At 40.5% G+C, this 21096-nt stretch overlaps 2 protein-coding genes across 7 annotated transcripts in view; one reads left to right on the top strand and one right to left on the bottom strand.

Annotated features, from left to right (window-relative positions):
- The window catches only part of TMIGD3 (transmembrane and immunoglobulin domain containing 3), an 80615-nt gene extending 79802 nt beyond the window's left edge, over positions 1 to 813 (top strand). For all 3 annotated transcript variants that reach the window (NM_001302680.2, NM_001081976.3, NM_020683.7), the window contains one exon: positions 404 to 813. In NM_001302680.2, the coding sequence (NP_001289609.1) occupies positions 404 to 474 (71 nt within the window). In that variant the 3' untranslated portion in view covers positions 475 to 813. The remainder of the gene's footprint in view (positions 1 to 403) is intronic.
- Positions 5649 to 10177, bottom strand: C1orf162 (chromosome 1 open reading frame 162). Of its 4 annotated transcripts, none has more exons than NM_174896.4 (6): positions 10131 to 10177; positions 8096 to 8143; positions 7294 to 7363; positions 6733 to 6827; positions 6386 to 6510; positions 5649 to 6178 (listed from the first exon to the last, which is right to left on the bottom strand). In NM_174896.4, the coding sequence occupies exons 2-6, from the start codon at positions 8130 to 8132 to the stop codon at positions 6038 to 6040; spliced, it is 468 nt and encodes a 155-aa protein (NP_777556.1). In that variant the 5' UTR covers positions 8133 to 8143; positions 10131 to 10177; the 3' UTR covers positions 5649 to 6037. The 4 variants fall into 4 exon arrangements, with proteins under 4 accessions (NP_777556.1, NP_001287763.1, NP_001287764.1 ...); NM_001300834.2 differs by having other exon boundaries at positions 6386 to 6435; NM_001300835.2 differs by lacking the exon at positions 6733 to 6827.
- Between the last annotated feature and the right edge of the window lie 10919 nt (positions 10178 to 21096).

Below are 21096 nucleotides of genomic sequence, written 5' to 3'. Positions count from 1 at the left end.
AAAGGCACATGATACTATGAAAGATGAGGCAGTAGAACTCAACGCTACTTCTTTTTAGCAAGAAGTTGTACAGCCTGTTGTAGCCATGGCCTGCTTCCTCAAACTCGGGCAGATGAAATGTGGCAGCCTGAACCAAGGCTCCTAGCTTTGACATTCTTGGGCTCTGAAGAAGTTCAGCTGTGTTCACAGAGGTGAATGCAAGCCCTGTGTACCAAGCCTTCTTATTGACTTTCCTACTGATGGGCTTTGCAGTAATGATATCTGATCTCAGCCCTGAAAATAAACTTGTGTTTAGTCCCCATGAAAGCCCCATGACAGAGTTTGGAACTTTTGCTGCAGAAACACTCTTCAGGGGTAGGCAATAGATCTCAACTCCATTTTCCCTTTCTATTCCCCAACAAAGTAGGCAACACTTTGAAGCCCTTCTCGCGTGTCCTGACTCCAAAGGAAATGGCTCCTACTGAACAGATGTGACTGAAGATTTTTTTAATTTAGTTCATAAAGTGATGCTACAACAGAATAATCACCATGACAACTGGCCCACACCTCAGAGACTGATTCTGATCTCCCAGGAATTCTGAAGGACCCTCTATCCTTGACAACAATCATTTGCAGCCAGGTAGCAACGGCGGTAGTCAGAGGAGCTATGATAGACCACACCCAAGCAAGGCTGCCCTCAAATAACATCTCAAGATCTTAGTTCTTATGCATTCCATCAGTCAGAAGTGAAGAAGAGGTGGAGAATCTGGATTGGGGACCAGGAAATCACTTGTATTTTGTTAGCCAATAAATTCCTAGCCAGTGTTGAATGAACTCCAAGGTATGAGTAACTTCTTCTAGGGTATCACTGTAAAAATATTTCTGGAAAAGTTTCTTTCAAAGAATAACGTTCTAACTCATTTCTGAATTGGTATCAAATGCTGCCCAACCCAAAGAAAGGGAGATAGACTAAATCAGTGGTTCTCAGATTCTTTTGGTGAAAAGGCCATTCCTCTCATCCTTAATGGGAAACTTCCACCTGACTAAAGGGATGCTGCTTTTGATCAATGAGAAACCAAGGTGTGATAACTTAAGTGAAATATTCATTCAAATCAGGAAATACAAATCAAGAACAAGACATCACAGCCATGGGTGTGAATGAGGTTATATTGCCATTCATGCCAGAATTACCAACACTCTTAGCTCCCACCTGCATATCTACACCCTCTCTCCCCATATAGGGTCTCTCCTGCTATTTCTGGGAATTCTCAGGGCCTCCCACTCACTGTCTGTGCTGCCGTCATCACAAGCCTGCTTTTCATTGTGTTACGATCTCTTCTAATGGGTGTGCTGGCCAGCCTCAGTCCTCAGGATACTCAAGTGGCCTTCTGGTCTGAGCAGAGTTGGAACAGGGAGGTTGTTTGTTGAAATAATTCTGCACATGTCCTGTGTGTTTAGATCCAGACTCCCACAAAATCGTTCATGAACACACTTCCTTCAGCTTCCACCCTAAGTCCTAATTCCCCAAAGGTAGGGAATTCAAAGCTACTCAACGGCCTGATGGGAAGGGATGAGGGTGTGGACACCACACCTCTGTGTTTCTGTACAACCCACCTCCTTGCCAGAGGCTCAGATCAAACAACATCAAAAGTGCTCTCTTTTCCCTTAGCCACAAAACAGCCCCAATTCCTCCCCTGTGGCCCTGTATTGAATTTAAACAAATGGGATCATTAACCCACCAGTTCTGCAAATAGCAATACAGTTTGGGTTCAGTTAGGACATTCCATTCTACAAGGCGAGATAGCAGACATAGACCTTCCGCGGCAGATGAAGACATCTACAGATGTCTTGGAAGATTTACATTCACGATGTCTGGAGAACCATTTCCCTGTAGGTTTGTTCTGATTCCATGATCCAGGATTCAAGAGCTTTGTTCTGCTCTTACCTAGCAAAGATCTTTGAATTTGGGGTCAATCATTTAATTACTCATTTTATCCTCCAGCAAGGCTGGCTGCATAATGTGAAGACAAAAAACAAGACGCTGTTTAGGGCTATACCATTAAAAAAAAAAATGGGCAGCTTCAAGAAAACAGGAAAGAGCAATTAATTTGATATTTCTTGTACAAGTAGATAGCCAAGTGACAGTGCTAGCCAAGTGACAGTGCTTACTCTACTCTTGTAGCGATGTTTATAAGGTGCTGGCCCTGAACTGGAAAGCTGATATGGCCTCTAGCTTCAGGGATGGCAGAATTGTTTGATGTCAGCCCCAAGTTTGGGAACAGCTGAAAGCTCAAGAGGCCTCCCTGTGTGCACTTCCTACAGTCAGCGAACGGGAGAAGGCCATTCCTGGGTCTCTGCTGCCCTCGTGGGGTGGCTGCCCTGGTGGTGCTGTGGCCACCTCACTGAATTATCTCCCTTAAACCTGTTTTTCTTCTAGACCTGTTCACTCCCACAGAGAGACTAATTTTTTTTTTTTTTTTTTTTTTTTTTTTTTACTCAAACTGTCTTCCACTGGCTTCTCCCTCAAAATCCAACTTCCAGGAGCAGTTGCTCTCTCTCAGAAAGAACATGCTGTCTGGATCACGTCACCTGACTCTTTGCCTTTCTCGTCTCCTTGACACCATAAGTGCTGTGGGGCGGCTTGATGTGGAGGCCAGATGCAAGGAATTTGAAGTCAGAGGACTTGATTTAAATTTTTGTTCTGCCATTTATTTTTAGCCAGATGTCATTGAGTAAATTATTTCATCTCCTTGGACTTCAATTTTCTTAACTTGATTTTGCAAATAATAATAAGAATTATTATTATTAAGACAGAGTCTCATTCTGCCACCCAGGCTGGAGTACAGTGGTGTAATCTTGGCTCACTGCAGGCTCAACCTCCTGGGCTCAAGTAATCCTCCCACCTCACCCTCCCAAGTAGCTGGGACCACAGGCATGCACCACCATGCCTGGCTAGTTATTTTATTTTTTGTAAAGGTGGGATCTCCCTATGTTGCCCAGACTGGTCTCAAATTTTGGGGCTCAAGCAATCTTTCTGCCTTGGCCTCCCAAAGGACTGGAATTACAGGCAAGAGACACTACACCCAGACCCCAAAATATTATTTAATGTATTTTTGAAAGATCTGTGGTGGATGCTTCTCTCCCACTCCTGCTTCCTTTGGTGTAGACTGAGCTCCATTAAGGCAACACTCCTCAGTGACCCCCCACCATGGGAGGTAGAGGGGGCTATCTGACATGGCAGACTGGGAATAGGAACTGGGCATACATACTTTCTTTCTTCCTCTTCCTCTTTTACTCTTTTGGGTGCAGATTTGAAAGAGCACATGAGCTCTTCTGCAACTCCTTAGGGGAAGGTTGAACAACTGCATTGCTTGTTGGGACGGGTGGGCTTGCTCTGGTGCAGCTTATAACTCAGTAGTGGAGTTCAGTATTCTGAACTTCTTTGCAGCTGTAGTATAAGCTCTATTCTCCAATGTTGACCATGTTCATAATAAAGATGATATTTTGGTTTCTGTCTGCTCAGTCCTCTTATTTATATCTATATGTTTAGGGATCCTCAGTCCCACAGGTAGCAATTTCCCCTCCCCAGAGGCCATCACCAAGACCATTCATTGTGTTTTCTTCCAGAGGTATACTAAATATATAGATACACATATACTCTACTACATGTGAGTAGAGCATATTCATAATTCTGTTCAACAGCTTGCAATATATCATAGATATCTGTTTTTATTAGAACATATAGAGCTGCCTCATTCTTTTTAATGGCTACATTGCACTCAATGAACCAGTCTCCTCTCCATGTACAATGAAGATTTTCTCGATCTTTTGCTGTTTCAGAGAATTGAGCATAATGTATAAACATGCAAACTCTGGAGCCAGCCTACCCAGGGTTGAGTTCCGGTGCCACTACTACTAGCAATGTGAACTTGGGCAAGTTACTTAACCTCTCTGTGCCTCCATTTCTGTATCTAAAATGAGTAATAATTGTACCTCACAGTGTTCTGTGAGGATTCCACGAATACATGCCACGCACTTAGAATCGTACTAAAAGTGTAATAAGCCTCAGTAAGTTCTAGCCAATTTGATTACTGCTGCAGTTCAAGTTACGTAGGCAATTTTCCATGTATTTGAGTAGGATAAATCCTTAGAAATAGGATTATTTATAAATTCTTAGAAAAGAATTTAGAATGTTGTTGGCTATTGCCAAATGGTCTTCTGTGGTAGCTGTACCAACGTGCTCTCCCACCAGTAGTGTATGTGTGTCTTGGTTCCCCCCAAGTCTTGCCCACACAGGTAGCAAACTTTTTGAATTTTGCCAGTCTTACTGATAGAAAAAATTATGTAATTTTAGTTGTAATCATTATTTCCCTTATTATGAGTGAAGTCGAGTATCTTTTCATATATTTGAGCCATTTATATATTCTTTCCTACAAATTGCCCACCCCTATCCCTTGTCCTTTCTATTGAGTTGTTCATTTTTTCCCCTGTTGATTTACAAATGATCTTTATATATCTATAAGATGCTTTGCAAGTGTTTTCTAAGCTTGTCATTTGCCTTTTGACTTTTTAATGGTACTTTGGACTTTTAATTGTACTTTAGAAGTCAAGTTAATCTTTTCTGGTTTCTGGGATTTGTGACATACATTCAAAGGCATGCTCTACAAAAATATTTTTAAAAATTCTCCCATATTTTCTTCTAGTGCTTTTATGATTTTTTTTACTGTTAAATTTTTCACATCTGGGATTTATTTTCATATAAGAAGTGAAATATGGATCCTACTTTATTTTCATTTACATGGTTATCTAGTTATCTTGCTACCACTTATTGAATAAACCAATTTCTCCCAAATGATTTCATATGCCATCTTCATCATACTCTAAATTTCCTTATATATTTTGATGTATTTCTGGTCTTTAAATTCTATTCAATTGATTTATTTATTCAGGTACCATTAACATATTGCTTTAATTAGTGATGCTTAATAAAACAAGTACTTTTAGTTAGCTACTAGGGCTAGCCTTCCCATATAACTTTAATTATTTATTTTTATACATTTTTCTGGATTTGCTGTCTTGTTTATGGTTTACATAGGAAATTTAGAGTAAGCCTGCCCGGTGAAAAATAATCTTATTGATATTTTGTTGTTGTTCACCTTTGGGAACTCATCTGATGATATTTTTAATGGGATTTTTATATGTGATTATTCATTGGGATTTTGGGGGAATTAATGTTTAATCTTTATCTTTGGTTCTCATATAATGTTGTTATGCATACCTCTTATGCTATAGGATGGAGGTAGAAATCTCCATTTGCATAGTGCTTTATACAGTAGGGACCTTGTGTTTGTGTAGAGCTCTTGGATGTATAGAATGTTTATGTATAAGATATTTCATTTAATCTTCACACTAAATATTAGTGGTAAGTGTTATCTCTGTTTTCAAGATGAAAGACTTCAGGCTTGAAAAGTTTAACAAGTTTGCCTAAATGAATGCTGCTAGTTAGTGGCAGAGTTTGGTACCTGCACCCCAATCAAATCTGAGCTTGTTTCCAAGTGCCATCACCTTTGGTGGTGTTTTTGGCTGTGAATGAGCTCTGGACTTTTAATCTTGACCTCTGGAGAAGGTGGCAGGAACAGACAAACAAATAATAAAGATGGAGGCAGCACTGTGGGGGGTTTGACTTTATTTGAAATTTTTGGTAGATTGTTCATTTGGTTGACTCCTCCCAAGTTGATTCATGATGCTGGGTGAATACTCTGTGCACTGAGCTCTGTACCACACACTTTGGAAGGGTCCAAGGAAGGCAGTCTATGCCCCCAAGGGGCTCACAGGCTGTCAGTTCAAGTGGGAGGGCCATCAATCTTTCCTCTGGCCAGGAAAAGACTGACCATTGGTCTCCAAAGATGCTGGATAGCATTGCCAGATCACATCTAAACAACTCCGACTGCAGTTTCACACAGGTGGTGGTCCAAAATTTGTAAAAAAGTGAAAGTGATGTGTGAAGATAGGGCTGAGATGAGAGGAAATGGATTCAAGCCTCATTGGAAAAGCTGAGTTAGTTTGTTACTTTAATTTGAGCATAGACAATGGGGTCAAAGTCTGCAGAATGGTTCTCAGCCAAGTGATTGCTCTTTTCTTCTGAGAGTTTGAAAGTTGTGCTGGCATAGGTAAGTGATTCCCCTGGGATGGATGAAAGCTGCAGAGGGAGAAAAAGGAGGAATGAGTGAGTCCAGTCTGGAGCAAAAGGTTGCTCTTTAGAAGCAACCTGAGCACTTTGGTCAAAGAATCACTTGCCCAGTGTCTGGAAATCAATACCACCATTCTAGCAGATAATGAAGAGTATGGAGGGGAATTCCAATGACGGTAGCCCTTCAGTGTCCCCAAAACAGTGTGGTCATCTTACCTTGGCTGGAGGATCTGAGTGAGGATCTGGGGCCTGGGGCTTGGAGTGATCTGCCATGGTGCCAGAAAGAAGAGGGACCCATCTCAGCAATGGGCCTGGGGAAATGGGAAGCCTCTCCCTTCGATCTTGGGTGAAGGGTGGGGTGGGGAGGAGGTGTTGGCAGGTGGGTGGGGGGCAGGGCGGAAGAAAAATGAAGGGATTTGAATCTTCAGTCTGCAGACAGGGTGGGCTAAGCAGGTTTTATCACACTGCACCCTCCCCTACCTCCTCCCATTACTCACTCATAGCTAATTCTAGTATCAATGGCAGAGAGAGAAGGGCTGTCCTATCCCTTGGAGACCACTTACATTTTCTGTAGCTCTTTATGATGAGGAAGATAAAGGCTATCAGCAGCAGTGTCAGTAGAACCCCAGCACAAAAGGCAAGGATTAAATGTTTTTTGCTGTTTTGGCAAAGAAAGGCAGGGGATGAACTGTTGGGCTTTTGAAGGCCTTTCCTAAAGAGTGAAACCTTTCCTGCCTATGGATGGACTCCTGAAATGGTTTTCACACTGATTAATGAACTTTCACCCAGTGGTTTTCAGCTTTTGCTTTTGAGTTTCACATCCATTTGAGGCCTCAGAGGAAGCTGTGGCCTCTTCCTCTCCCCCTCCCTCAACCCACACAATGTTCATAATTCCCCACCCAGCAAATTTTACCTATAAGCTTAGGGGATCCATGGATCTCTTGAAGCTTAGGGGATGCCAAATTAAGAGCCATACTCCTGAGATCACAAACTGACTTTGTTCTTTTACTGTTTCTAGTCCTTTCTCCCCAGTCTCCCTGCCCAAATCCCCAAGCCGAGGCTGTCAGCACAACATCAAATCCCACGTGGTACAAGATGAAACAGATAGGAGAATGCTCATTTACTTGTGGTGGTTAGAGAGACAGGGTGCAGGGCTAGTTGTTGGGGCTGCTGTGGAGAGAGTGCCTTGTCTTTCTACAAGAAAACACAAAAGGAATTAGTGTATCTGTCACTTTTCATGATACCCTTCCAGCTTAAGTTTCCCCAGGTGCCCCATTCTACCCAAGCAACCAGTGGAAATTAAGGATGGGGCTGCAACTCTTACAAAAATGAGAGAACATTGTTTTTTAGATTCCAAGTACTTTTAAATGAAAAATAGAACTTAAAAATCAACTACATACATGAAATACAAGCCTAGTGTTCCTTTGATTAAAAAAAAAAATCTCATATGTTGCTCTCCTCAAAGATTTTAATAGGAACTCCTGAAGAGATATGCTCCCTCTGGCCTAAGGAAAGCATCTCCCAGCTAGGGAGAAACAACAAATGCTTCCCAAAGTCCTTGGGGAATTTGACCTTGAAACTGCTGCCCTTTTATGTTTGCCCTTTTTGCAGAGCAGCTATTAGCAGTGCCTAGCCAAAAACAGCCACAGTGGTTTTCCCAATGCCTACACCACAAATAGGGGAGCAGGACCCACCTAGTTTGATATTGAGCAGAGACACCCTTTACTCAGATTTGGAGGGCCAGGCAGGTCTCTGTGGTTCCCCCTTTCACCCCTCCTGGCATTAAATTCTGTGTCCTGGTAAAATTGGATTCTTCCAGTTTCAGAAATGCACTAGCTAGTGCCTTTCCATTACAGCCCTTCAGCACAATTTCTAGTTATTTTAACTCAGACGTGAGGCAGGTAATTATTCCTGTCGTAAACTCACCAGTGTCGGGTTTACATGTGGAGCCATTGCCTCCCATGCTGTCATCCCCTGAGAATAAAACAAGGTATCTCTTAGAAAGCTTGGAAGGGAGAGCCGGCTTAAGGGCCAGCTCTGAGACTGTGATTGTCATATAAGAGTAGTAACAATGAGAGGCAATTTGTGGGTGTTCTAGTGCCATCAGTGGTCACAGATCACTCATCAGTGGTTAACAATTCTGGTGTTGTTTCTGCAGCTCAGCAGCCAGCCTTCAGGTTTGCAGGTCCAGAAATTTGATCTTATCAGGGCACCAAGAAATGACTGATTTCTCCAGAACTGATTCCCACCAACCAACTCACAGGAGACTGATGTATAAGCCGAAATAACATTAGGTACATGTTGGTGCAATCAGTGAATTTTGCCTATCAGGGGAACATATAAGAATGCCAATGAAAATCATAAATTTGCTTGGTAAGCACTGAACTGAAGTAAGTATGAGAGAAGATGAATGGATGATTTTTATATTGACTGCCAACTGGGTCTGATGTATCAATCTTACTCTTCCCTGGCATTGCTACATAAACTTTGACAAACTTGCTCTTGGAGACCCTTACTCTAGACCTCATTAGACACTTCTAATCTGTTCACGTATTATCTTCTCAAGTTTGCCAATATTCTTGTTTAGGCTTTATATCAAAATGTATAAAATATCTAAAGGCAGGAAAGTGAAATCACCCAAACTCCTACTACTCATTAATGTTTTTAGTGTCTTTCCTTTTAGTCAGACTTCCATGCATTTTTTAAAAAGCTACTTGAGATATTTCTTTTTATAAGAGGTTATATCTTCCTTTTACACTCAGCATTTTGCCATACACATTCTTCTATGTCACTAAAAACTTTTTATAACATTTTTTAGTGGTGATAGGTCTTTCCATTATAGCTATGTACTATAACTTGCTTAACAAATTCCCCACTTACTGATAGAATTGTTTCCATTTTTATTTAAATCAATAACAATGAAAGAGATATTTTTGTGCATAAAACATTGTATGCATCCCTGATTTTTTTTTTTAGGAGGCCAAAATTTTACTTTGTATTTAGGCAAACTCATGGGAAAATGTTTTGGCTTTGTTATTTCTTCTATATTTTAAGGTCATTTCTTTAAACAAATGTCATCAATTATTTATTGTTTTATTGTTCAGCTCTCAAAAGTTAACTTCCAAGTCCTTGGACCTGTGGGAGGGTTGGGAGAAGGACACCTCATCGCCCTGTACCTGTTACAATAGCAGCAACAACAACATTACCAAGTACCTTACAATTCACCAAACATTTTTAGATCATGCAATGTCAGATAAGAAAAGGGCCAACGGGAAAATGTGTTGAGGAATCTGAGCCATGAGAATAGGAGGCCCACAGTCCGCAGCAGAATCGGCAGTGGTAATTTTTCTCACACTTTTTGCTCCTTTTCTAACTTGTAAGTCAGTGGTGCTCTTTGCAGACCATCATAAAATATTGACATAATATTTTTAAAATATTGAAATATATGCTGGTGCTAAACAGAGTATGAGCTTACACTAGGCTTTGCCACTGGAGAGGTGGAAGAAGATAGGATCATAGGTTTCTGTAAAATCCTGAAATTCACAGTAGCAGTTCTGAATTTACAAAAATGTTACCATAGCCGCTGTGAAAACATTAGGCCACCCCACCCTAACTTTCACATAAATGGACAAAATCATCGTACAATACCACAGGGAAATAGCTACTCACAAATCCAGGCCAAGAAAAGCAGGAAATATATTTCCCTTTCAGCACAACCCAAACAGTTGGCAGAAGCATAAATTAAAATAGAAGCGGTGCTATATATACTTTTTCACGTTTCATCCAGCACTGGAGAATCTTACTGATAGCGTAAAATCCATCAACTTAATAGAACCATTCAAATACAACCCTTCCTGCATCAAAGAAAACAAGTGATAGAAACCACTAACAATTAGACGACACTTTCTTTTGGTGAGTGATTATTTAATCTAGATTAAAAGCATGTGGTAAATGCATTTACCTTTCAAGAAAAAGTCCGGTCATAGCACGACGCAGTCGTCTAAGACTGAGCATTTCACTTGCTTCCGTTACGGCTTCTATGTTTCAAAAATGACGAAATAAAGATTACTGCCCCTGCCACTGCCAGCATCACATTGTGTGTAGCAAAGATCTTACTAAACTCAACGGTAGGCTTCCTCTTTGAGGTCAACATTATGATTTATTTTATTTTTTGAGACGGAGTCTCGCTCTGTGGCCCAGGCTGGAGTGCAGTGGCGCTATCTCGGCTCACTGCAAGCTCTGCCTCCCGGGTTCACGCCATTCTCCTGCCTCAGTTTCCCGAGTAGCTGGGAATACAGGCGCCCGCCACCACGCCCGGCTAATTTTTTGTATTTTGTTAATAGAGACGGGGTTTCACCGTGTTAGCCAGGATGGTCTTGATCTCCTGACCTCGTGATCCACCCGCCTCGGCCTCCCAAAGTGCTGGGATTACAGGCCTGAGTCACCGTGCCCAGCCCAACATTATGATTTTTTAATCTTTCTTTTGTACCTTTTCTTTGTGTCTGACACATGAATGACAGAACATAAGGAGGCAAGACAGGTTTCTTGCTAATTAAATATTTATTAAGTGTTTACTTTAACCACTGTGCCAGATTTACTGTGGAGGTCGCATCAGTATGACATTGTCATCAAAAACCTTATAATCTCATCTATTCTAACCAGGGAGATGAGGCTGATAATGAAAAATGAAGAGCAAACAGTGCTAAGAGTTAAGTACTAGCTGTGCAGACTTCAAATGTGTTAAGAGTGTTAAGATCCCTTCAAAGGGAAGGCGAATCATTTCTTTATAAATATTTATTTGTAAAATAATATTAATAAATATACTCATTAAGTAAATGCTATAGGCCATACAGTGAGCTAGTATTATAGGGTTTTTTTTTTCTTTTTTTTTCTTTCTTTTTTTTTTTTTGAGGCAGAATTTCATGCTTGTTGCCCAGGCTAGAGTGCAATGTTGCAACCTTGGCTCACTGCAACCTCCACCTCCTGGTCTCAAGCAATTCTCCTGCCTCAGCCTCCCAAGTAGCTGGGATTACAGGCATGCGCCACCATGCCCGGCTAATTTTGTATTTTTAGTAGAGACGGGTTTCACCATATTGGTCAGGATGGTCTTGAACTCCCGACCTCAGGTGATCCGCCTGCCTTGGCCTCGCAAAGTGCTGGAATTACAGACGTGAGCCACTGTGCCTGACCAGGTTATATAGGTTTAATAACTGACCAGATTATTACAGGTTTTTCGGAGAGCAAGGCAGAAAAGTTCCTTGCCTCACAGACTCTACCACATAATTGAGAAGAGAAATGAAAAACAAGTAAATGATAAGTCAATGACACATTGTATTAAGGGCCTTGAGGGAAAAAAAAGAGTGCTAGCTAGACAGAATACACTGGGAGAATGTCTTCAGAGAAGATGGAGGACTGGGGAAGGCTTCTCTAAGGAGTGCACATTTCCACTTAGAGAACTCGAAGATGAGAAGGAGCTAGCCAGGCACAGAGTCTGGGGAAGAGGTTTCCACGTGGAGAAGAGTAACTCACAGCTGGCAGAGCTGGAGAAATCAGGCAAGGAAGTATTCAGGTAAACCTTGAGCGTGGATAGGCTTTGGATGGATGGAGGGAGAAAGGGCTGTGGGAGGGGTGCCCTAGGCCCAGGGTTGGTTGCTGAAATTCAAGTGATGTATTTCTGGGATATTAGCACAGTTCAAGAGTGGAACATTTTGGCTGGGTGTGGTGGTTGACGCCTGTAATCCAGCACTTTGGGGGGCTGAGGCAGGAGGATCCTTTGCGCCCAGGAGTTTGAGGCTACAGTGAGTCACGATCATGCCATTGCACTTTAGCCTGAGTGACAGAGTGCTTAAATAAATAAATAAATAAATAGGGAGGGGCATTTGGAGAGGGTGGGAGATGAAAAATAGTTGACTTAGATGGATTGCAGCCAGATGGTGGGGAGCTTTAAGTCCAAGCAAGACATATTTGAAATATTTAAAAAATAAACACTAAATATTTTTGATTGAGATATAACATGATAAACATAGCCTTTATGACAGATTGTACCATATCATATAAGATAAATTGTGGGTAGAGACAAAGAAGCTAGATGGTACGGTGATATTCTGGGTATTGTGTAGTAAGGGTATAGGCTGAAACCACAGGGATCATAAAATTGGAGGACATATAACTTGGGACCTGGATATTGGGAATAAAACAGTAGGATGAGTCAATGATTACTTCAAGTTTTTGAACCTCAGTTGCTGAGATAATTCATTTCTTCATTCACTTACTCCAAAACATTTATTGAACATTTACTATGTGCTGTGTACCATTCTAAGCTTTAAGGATATTATGACGAGCGTGAGGGGCTGCCTTCATGGAACTTTCAGACTAGTAAAGGAGGCCCTTACCACACAAAGAAATGGTAAATTGTGATTGTTAAGTGTGCTGTGAAGGATCAGGACCCTGTGCCATGGATGCCTACAACAGAGGGGAAGAGGACCAGGGAAGCCTTCCTAGAGCCAAAAAACATAACAAAATGACCCAACACTTAAGCTGAAATCTGAAATGTGAGTTGCAGTTCCACTAGAACAAGAGGAAGGGAAAGTTCAGAGGGAACAGAACATTTAAAAATCCTGTGCCAGAAGGAAGGTAGGAAGTTGAAGGGCAAAAAAAAAAAAGACTAGTTTGACAAAAGCTGAAAGAGGAAGTATGTGAGGTGGCACTGGGTTGTGGGCAGAGGGTGGAGCATGATGAGGATGAGGTTGAATAGGCAGGAAGGGGCCAGTCCGTCACAACTTTTGTCTTTAAGAGAAGTGGGTTTATCTGTACTAAAGATATTTAAGCAAGGGTGACATGATCAGGTTTGCATTACGGAACAATCACTAAAACTGGAGCAAACAGATTGGAAGTTAGCCAGAATAGATATGAATAGACCGGCTGAGAGATTACTGCAGTGATACAGTTGAGGAGGGTAATAGTAATGTGGACTAGGATGGTAGCACTAGAGATGAAGAGATATATATGGATTTGGGAGATATTTAGGAAGGTGGCAGCAAAAACAAGGGGGGATAAAAGATTAGACAATGATCAAAGATACAACCAAAGGGCAAGAAGGAGGAAGAGGAGCCACAGAAGGAAACAGCGGTATTTCAAGACTTAGAGGGAGGATTAACTAATTAATCAGACATTTAGTTAGCACCTACGAAAACACCCTGTCAAGCTCTGGAGGTTCAATAATGAGTAAGACAACAGTTCTTGACTTGCGGGATCTGTCCGTTGCAGAGAGACAGATATCTTCATTCATCTACAAAAGCATGTTCCAGACTGGCCAGTCACATAAATAAGCATAATGAAATATTGTAGATGTGAGACATCCGTACAGGATAGAGTGAGATGCAATGAACAAAGAGGTCAGGCTACACAATAAGGAGGGAGGATAGGTGTCAAGAAAAGCCTCATAGAGGAGACAATGTTTGAGTTGCACCTTGAAAGATGAATAATTTTCTAGGCAGAGCGAGGGAGGAAGTGTATTCCAGGTAGAGGGACAGGGTAAACAAGGGCATGCTTTGGCACGATGGTTGAGTTTAGGGAAATGCAAGTATTTCACCATAGGTGGTGCTATGGGGAATGAGGATAGGATAAGGGTGGGTGATGGAAGAGGAAAGGCTGGAGAGGATAGATAAAACCAGGTAATGGCGGGCCCTAAACATATTTTACCCGTATAGGCAATGGAAAGACTGCTGAAGAGGACTAACACAAGCACATTTGGGTTTAGGCAACAGAGTGTAGGGGGGACTGGTGAGGTGCCAGACAGTGGGTGAAGAATCCTTTGGTGTTGCAGAGTTCCAAGTGAGAAACTAGGATGATCTGAATAGCGGCAATGGCCATGGGGAAGAGGTAGAGCAGATAGGTGATGAGTCTAGTCATTTATTAGGTGTGAGAGGAAAGTAAGAGAGAGAGGGGATGTGGCAATAACTAGGTTTCCTGCGTTGTATCCATCAACTAATGTTGATAATATAAAATAAGGGGTTATAGGATTGGGAAAAAATAATGAGTTTAATTTTGGACACATTGGGTTTGGGGTGCCTGTGGAACATTTAGGTAAAGATGTTGAGAGAGCAGTTGGATGCACAGATCTGGGGCTCACAAAAGAGATCTAGATTTGTGTGGTAGACAGTACTAGTTCTCACCAATAACCAGTTCTCCTCTCCTTCTTGTGTGGAGCCTCCCTTGTGGTTGGGTAATGTCATGTGACAAGTTCTGGCCAATGGGTAGTGAATGAAGTGATGCATGTCTCATTTAGCCAAAGCATTTAATTGCTAATGCAAAACCTGCTCTGACCCCCTCCCACAACAATGGAGATTTTATGATGGGAAGGTGAAGGTAAGAGTTCTAACCCTGGATCACTGAGTCAACATATGGAGGACAGTTTCTCTGGGGAGTCACTTGGACCCCCAGTAGACTCTATATGAGCAAAAAGTAAACTTTTCTGTATTGAGCTACTGAGATTTTGGGTAGATCTTTTCTTTTCTTTTTTTTTTTTTTTTAAGACAGGTCTTACTATGTTGCCCAAGCTGGTCTTGAACTCCTGAACTCAAGCTGTCCTCTCACTTCAGCCTCCCTAATAGCTGGGATCATTGCACCTGACACGTGCAATGTCACACACCTATGATCCCAGCTATTGTCTCATCTCACTGAACCTAATCTATCTTTCCAAATACAATTTGAGGTATAGATTAGGAAGTCACCAGTATACTCATGATAGTAGAAGCCATGGGAATGGATAAGGTAATCCACGTACAGTATGTATTACAGAATGAGAATAAAATTCCTAGGATAGAACTCTGAGGAGCACCAAGATTTAAGAGGGAGGCAGAAAAAGTAGAGTCAGCTAAGGAAATTGAGAAGAAATGGTGACAGCAGAAATAGCATAAACATATGTGATTAGGAGCCAGAGGAGGAAAGAAAGGAAGGAAAAGCTGTGGCCACCTGTGCCAAATGCTGCTGAAAGAGAGAGGCCAATTAACATGAGGACTGGAAAGAGTTGACTGGATTTGGCAATTAAGAGATCATAATCTCTTTTGCTTAAGTAGCCTGGGGTTTGGTAGTAGTAGGAAATTTACCTTCAATGGGCTGATGAGTAATGGAAATTCCCAGGTGTATAGCAGATTAGGTATGTAAGGAAATCCTCTTGTTAAAAAACATAACACTTGTTGGATAAAATATTTTAAACACCATAATTTAGAAGCACATGGCTAAAGTAGATGTGGGAAATAAGAAAGTTGATTGAGACCTGAAATGGGTGTTTGCTCTGGATATAGCTACCAATTTTTGGTGACCTGAAGGTTGGGTTTAAAGGCCATGTGTGCAAGGTTAGGAAACCAAGTCTAGAGCCTGCACAAAGGTGGCGATTTGGATTGTACCCTCTGAAAAGGGACCCCTGGTGGGTGAATGAGGAAAAAAAATCCATGCCACAGATAGAGATGGTGGAGACCTTTGCTGTATTAGTTTTCTATTGCTGCCTAACATATCACACATTTAGAGGCTTAAAACAATACACATTTATCTTATAGTTTCTATGGGTTAAAAGCTTGGACATGTTTTATCAAGGTTCTCTGCTTCAAGGTCTCACCAGGCTGTAATCCAGGTATTGGCTGGGGTTGTGTTCTTATCAGAGGCTTGACTAGGAGAAGATATACTTCCAAATTCCCTCTGGTTGTTGGATGAACTCATTTCCTTGTGACTTACATGACTGAGGGCCCTGGCTTCTTACTGGTTGTCAGCTGGAGCCTGTTTGCAGGTCCTAGAGGCTGTCTACAGTTCCCTGCTTTGTGGTTCTCTCCACAGGCAGTTCACAACATGGCAGTTTGAATGCCACAGAAGAGTCTCTCCAGCCTGTTAAGACAAAGTTGTATATAACATAATGTCATGATGGAAGTGACAGCCTGTCACCTTTGCCATATTCTGTTGATTAGATGCAAGTCATAGATTCCACCCACATTCAGGGGAGGGAGGATTATACTTGCAGTAACACAAGGGAGCAGAGATCATGGGGCATTGTAGAATTCTGCCTGTCATACTTGCTTATCTCAAGCTTGGCTCTGGATAGAAGGGGACAAAAAGAAAAACAAAACAAAATACGCTTCCCTTGGACATTCCTAACCACAAACCTAACTTTAGGAGGTTTTAGGCCAGACTTTGTACTGTCTGTGGACCTCAAAATTCCAAGTTTAAATTGGTTGTTTAAGTTGGACGCTGGGAGAAGAAAATGCAAGTTATCTGTAGAAGAATGCCTCTTCGACCAGGTGTCAAAGACTTCCACAGACACATTTCCAATAAATATGAGCTAACAACAAGACAAATCACAAAAACACAAAAAGTAATCAAGCCATCATGAAAGAGACAGCAGAAATAACAAACCACAAATGTTAGAGACAGAGACCTGCAAAGGCTGTAGGTATAAGAATGATCAGATCCAAAATAAAAGTATGCTTAATATTTTTAAGTAAATAAAGTGGATATTGAAAGTGTAATGAAGGAATAAAAAAGTACTAAAATAATCAGGCAAATTTGAAAAGAAATAAGTAGAATGTAAAGATATTAAACCTATCATTGAAATTAGAAATTGCTGTGTTTGGATGTGTCCCCTTCAAAATTCATGTTGAAACTTAATCGCACTATGATGGTTTTGAGAGGGAAAGCCTTTTGGTAGATGATTAAGTCATGAGGACCTTGCCCCCTGAATGGATTTAGCATCCTTACAAAATGGCTCAAGGTTGAAAAGAGTCCTCTCTTGCCCTTCTGTCCCTTCTGCCACGTGAGGACACAGTATGCCTTCCCAGCAGAAGGTATAGAAGCAAGGTGCCATCTCAGAAGCAGAGAGCAGTCCTCGCCAGATACCAATCTGGCTGCCACCTTGATCTTGGACTTTCCAGCTCCCAGAATTGTGAAAAATTAATTGTATTTTCTTTATAAATTATCCAGTCTCAGGTACTCTGTCATAGAAGCATAAATGGACTAAGATAGAAATTCAATAGTGGGGATAAATAACAAGTTTAAAACATTTGAAGAGAAAAATAGTGGACAAGAAATATAACACAGACAACAATATAAAACATAGAAGAGAGATTAAAATATTAAAATTTCTAGAGTGATCATTATAACAGAAATAGAGTAACTCAAACTATTAGAGAAAAAAACAATTGGAATTAAATTAGTCAATCCAAAACAATGAATAGCAAAAACCAGAATAGGCCACAAAACAGAAAATATAAAATATATTAGTGGGAATGAATCAGAATAGAACAGCAATTGCTAATTACAATAAATGAAAATGGACTATACTCTTTAGTTAAAAGTCAAAGATTGCCAGATTGAATAAAAAATCTGCTATATACTGTTTGAAAATATGTATCTAGAACTTAAACAGCCATAAAGGTTGAAAGAAGGATGAAAAGTTACACCAGGAAAATGTTAACAAGATAGCTGGTATATTCATATCAGGCAAAATATACCTTAACGTAGACACTATTCGTTAAAAAAAGAGATCATCATTACATGCTGATAAAAGCTTAACTCAGTGAGAAGAGATAACAATTCTAAACTTATTTGCTTCTAGTTACCTAAACTATGAATTTATAAAGTAAAATTGACAGAACTATAAAAAAAGCCCCAAAACAAACAAACAAAAAATACAAACTTAACAGATCCACTGCCAAAGTAGGAAATTTAGTTTACATTTCTCAGTATTTGGTAGATTAAGCAGACAAAATGTTATAAGTATATAAATTTGTGTAATACAGTCAGTAAGATTAATCTAATAAACATATATAAAACCCTGCATATGTTATCTGGAGAGTACAGATTTTTTTCAAGAACACCTAAAACATTAAAAATTGAACACGTTGGAAGCCAGGGGCAGGTAAACTTTTTCTGTGAAGGGCAGATAGTAAATATTTTGGGCTTTGTGGAGCATATGGTCTCTGTTGCTAGTACTCAGCTCTGCCAACATGGTAACAAAGAAGCCGCAGACAATATGTAAATGAATGAGTGTAGGTAGCTATGTTCTAATAAAACTTTATTTATGAACACTGAAATTTGAATTTTGTATAATTTTTATGTATAATATTTAAAATGTAAAAATCATGCTTAGCTTCCAGGCTGTACAAAACTAGGTGGCAGGCCAGATTTAGCTCACAGGTTATAGTTTGCTGACACCTGTTTCAGGCTGAAAGTGACTCTCAATCATTTCAAGTTGATATCATACGGACCACATTCTCTGACCAGCCTGTAATTAAGTTAGAAATCAACAATAAAAAGAACTAAAAGAGCAAATATGTTTAGAAATTTCAAAAACATACTTTTAAGTAAATCATAGGTCAAAAAAATGATAATTGAAATTGGCCCTTTCTCACCAGTCTCCTTTGCCTGCTTGATTTCCTCCATCCAATCTGGCTGAGACAGCCCTCTCTTCTTACTCCATACAATTTTCCTATGTTACCTCAGCCATTCCCTGGACTTACTATCTATATGCTAACGATGCCCTACTTTATTTTTTTGGCCATTACTTTTACCAGATCTGAAGCTCATTTCCTCATGTTGCCAAAGAACCATCTAATTGTCAACTTATATTCAACAATAAAACTGAATGCAGTAGCTTCCCCCTTAAAACCTGCTTCTTCTCCTCTGTTTTGTATCTTAATTAACAGTACCACACAGCCAGAATCCTACGAGGCAATTTACATGCTTTCCTCAATCTCACATCCTCCTCTCCTCCTATCTAGAAGCAAGCTTTGTCAATTCAACTCTAAAATCTTATGGCAAGTCTCTTCTTTCTCATTATGGCCATTCTCTCCCAAGCCATATCAGGTCCTCCTTAGACTACTCTGATAGCTTCCTAGATGCTCCCGCCATCTACTCTTACTATTTTCTACAGTTTTACAGGGGTCAAACAGTTGTAAAAAGAAAACACAACAAAACATAAAGACAATTATGTAGCACAGACTGTATGTGGCCCTCAGAGTCTGAACCATTACAATCTGGCCCTAAAGAGGAAAAGTTTGCTGGCAACTCTTTTAATACATTATCCATACTTACCTTGCATAAAGTCTCTTAAAAAAAAAACTGGCTTTCCATTATTTAAAAAAAAAACAACATAGAATTCTTTAATATGGTCAAAAAGGCCATAAACATGCATAATCTGGATGATCCACTTCTCCAGCATTATCTCCCACACCCTCCCTTCCCCTGTGCTCCAGTCATTCATTTCTAGGGTTTTCAAGGTGCCATGTTCTTTCCTATCTCAGGCGCTTTGCACAAGGTATTAATATTTCCTCTGTTTGATGATCTCTCTTTTCTACAGATACCAATTTAAATATTACTTGCTCCAGAAGGGCTTTCATAATCTCCTACACTAGATTAAGTTTACTTATATATGCCCCTATCACCCTACAGTTTTAACAATGGCAACCCTTATACTACTCTATGTCTAGATTGCTAGACTGTAAAGTCTGTGGAGATGAGATGACATATTGTCTTATCTTAATTTCTAGCAGTAAGCATGACACATGGTATCTTTTTTTTATATAAACGATTGTTGAATGAGCTTCCTGTTCCACCACTGAAAAACTTCATTCTTTCAAGGTCCATCTTTATCTTTCTAGTTTCAATGGAAGATGTTTACCTTCTGTTAATTCCTGTCATCTGAATATTATTCTCTCACTTAGGGATTTTACTATGTGTATCCTCCTTCACTGTTTTCTTTTCATCCTCTTCTTCCATTGACTTTTTCTTCATTCAAGCCTCTTATCTTAAAACAACATTCCCCTGAGCCAACCTTTGGTTCCCTCTAGTTACTGGGGTGAGAAATGTTCTGGAAATTATTCTATATTTAAGTCAATTTCTTCATTGCTGTTCAATCCTTTTAACCCCATGTAATCTTCTTCTGTCCCTACCATTCAACCAAACAAAAACAAAAAAACCCAAAAAACCCTTTGGGAAGCTGAGGTGGGCGGATCACGAGGTCAGGTGATTGAGACCATCCTGGCAAACATGATGAAACCCCATCTCTACTAAAAACACAAAAAATTAGCCAGGCATGGTGGCAGGCACCTGTAGTCCCAGCTACTTGGGAGGCTGAGGCAGGAGAATGGCGTGAACCCGGGAGGAGGAGCTTGCAGTGAGCAGAGATGGCACCACTGCACTCCAGCCTGGGCAACAGAGCGAGACTCCATCTCAAAGAAAAAAAAAACAAACCAAAAAAACCCATTAATATAATTTATTAAATATTTATATTTCACTCAAACTTAAGAGTTTTTAAAATGTCACACTCTCCTACATCTATGCTGTTCCATCTTCCTGGACTCTATCTAATCCCTGAGACACCCTCTTGGCTAACTTCCAAATGCCAGCTCAGACACCATTTGTTTTCGAACCTGTCACTTTCCCTCTCTCTCTCTGTTTTACTTGATCTCCTGGGGCTGAAATTTTTAAGCATTATTCATTCAGGTTAACAATTATTGATAGGATAGTTATTGTGGTGGTTTGTAATGTCAGCTTGGTTAGGCAGAACTACATTTTCCAGAATTATCTTCCCTCAATGTTCTGGTTAGGGTAAGCCACAAGTCTTGAGCAAAATTTGGAGGATAAATGTGAAGCAGCAGCTGTTTTATAGCTCATACATGTGTTAGCTCACAAGCTGCAGCTGGACAACTTCCCATCCCTTCCCTGGATCACTCATTTCTCTAACCAGGTTTCTCTAAACCACATGTTTGTGTTGGATATGGGGTTACACAGGACAACCACTATCAAGGCCAGAGATGATAAAAACGGACATGGGTTTGTCTGTGCTTGTTACTTCCACTTGTTCTTAACTGCCTCCCATTTTACACCCGTCTTCCCTTAACTGACTGCCGTGTGGACTCTAAGCTCCAGCATCAGAAAGA

The sequence above is a fragment of the Homo sapiens genome, chromosome 1 (assembly GCF_000001405.40).
Source record: "Homo sapiens chromosome 1, GRCh38.p14 Primary Assembly".
NCBI classification, from domain to species: Eukaryota; Metazoa; Chordata; class Mammalia; order Primates; family Hominidae; genus Homo; species Homo sapiens.
The sequence above is the reverse complement of the archived record's forward strand: the minus strand, read 5'-3'. Positions and strand labels throughout refer to the sequence as shown.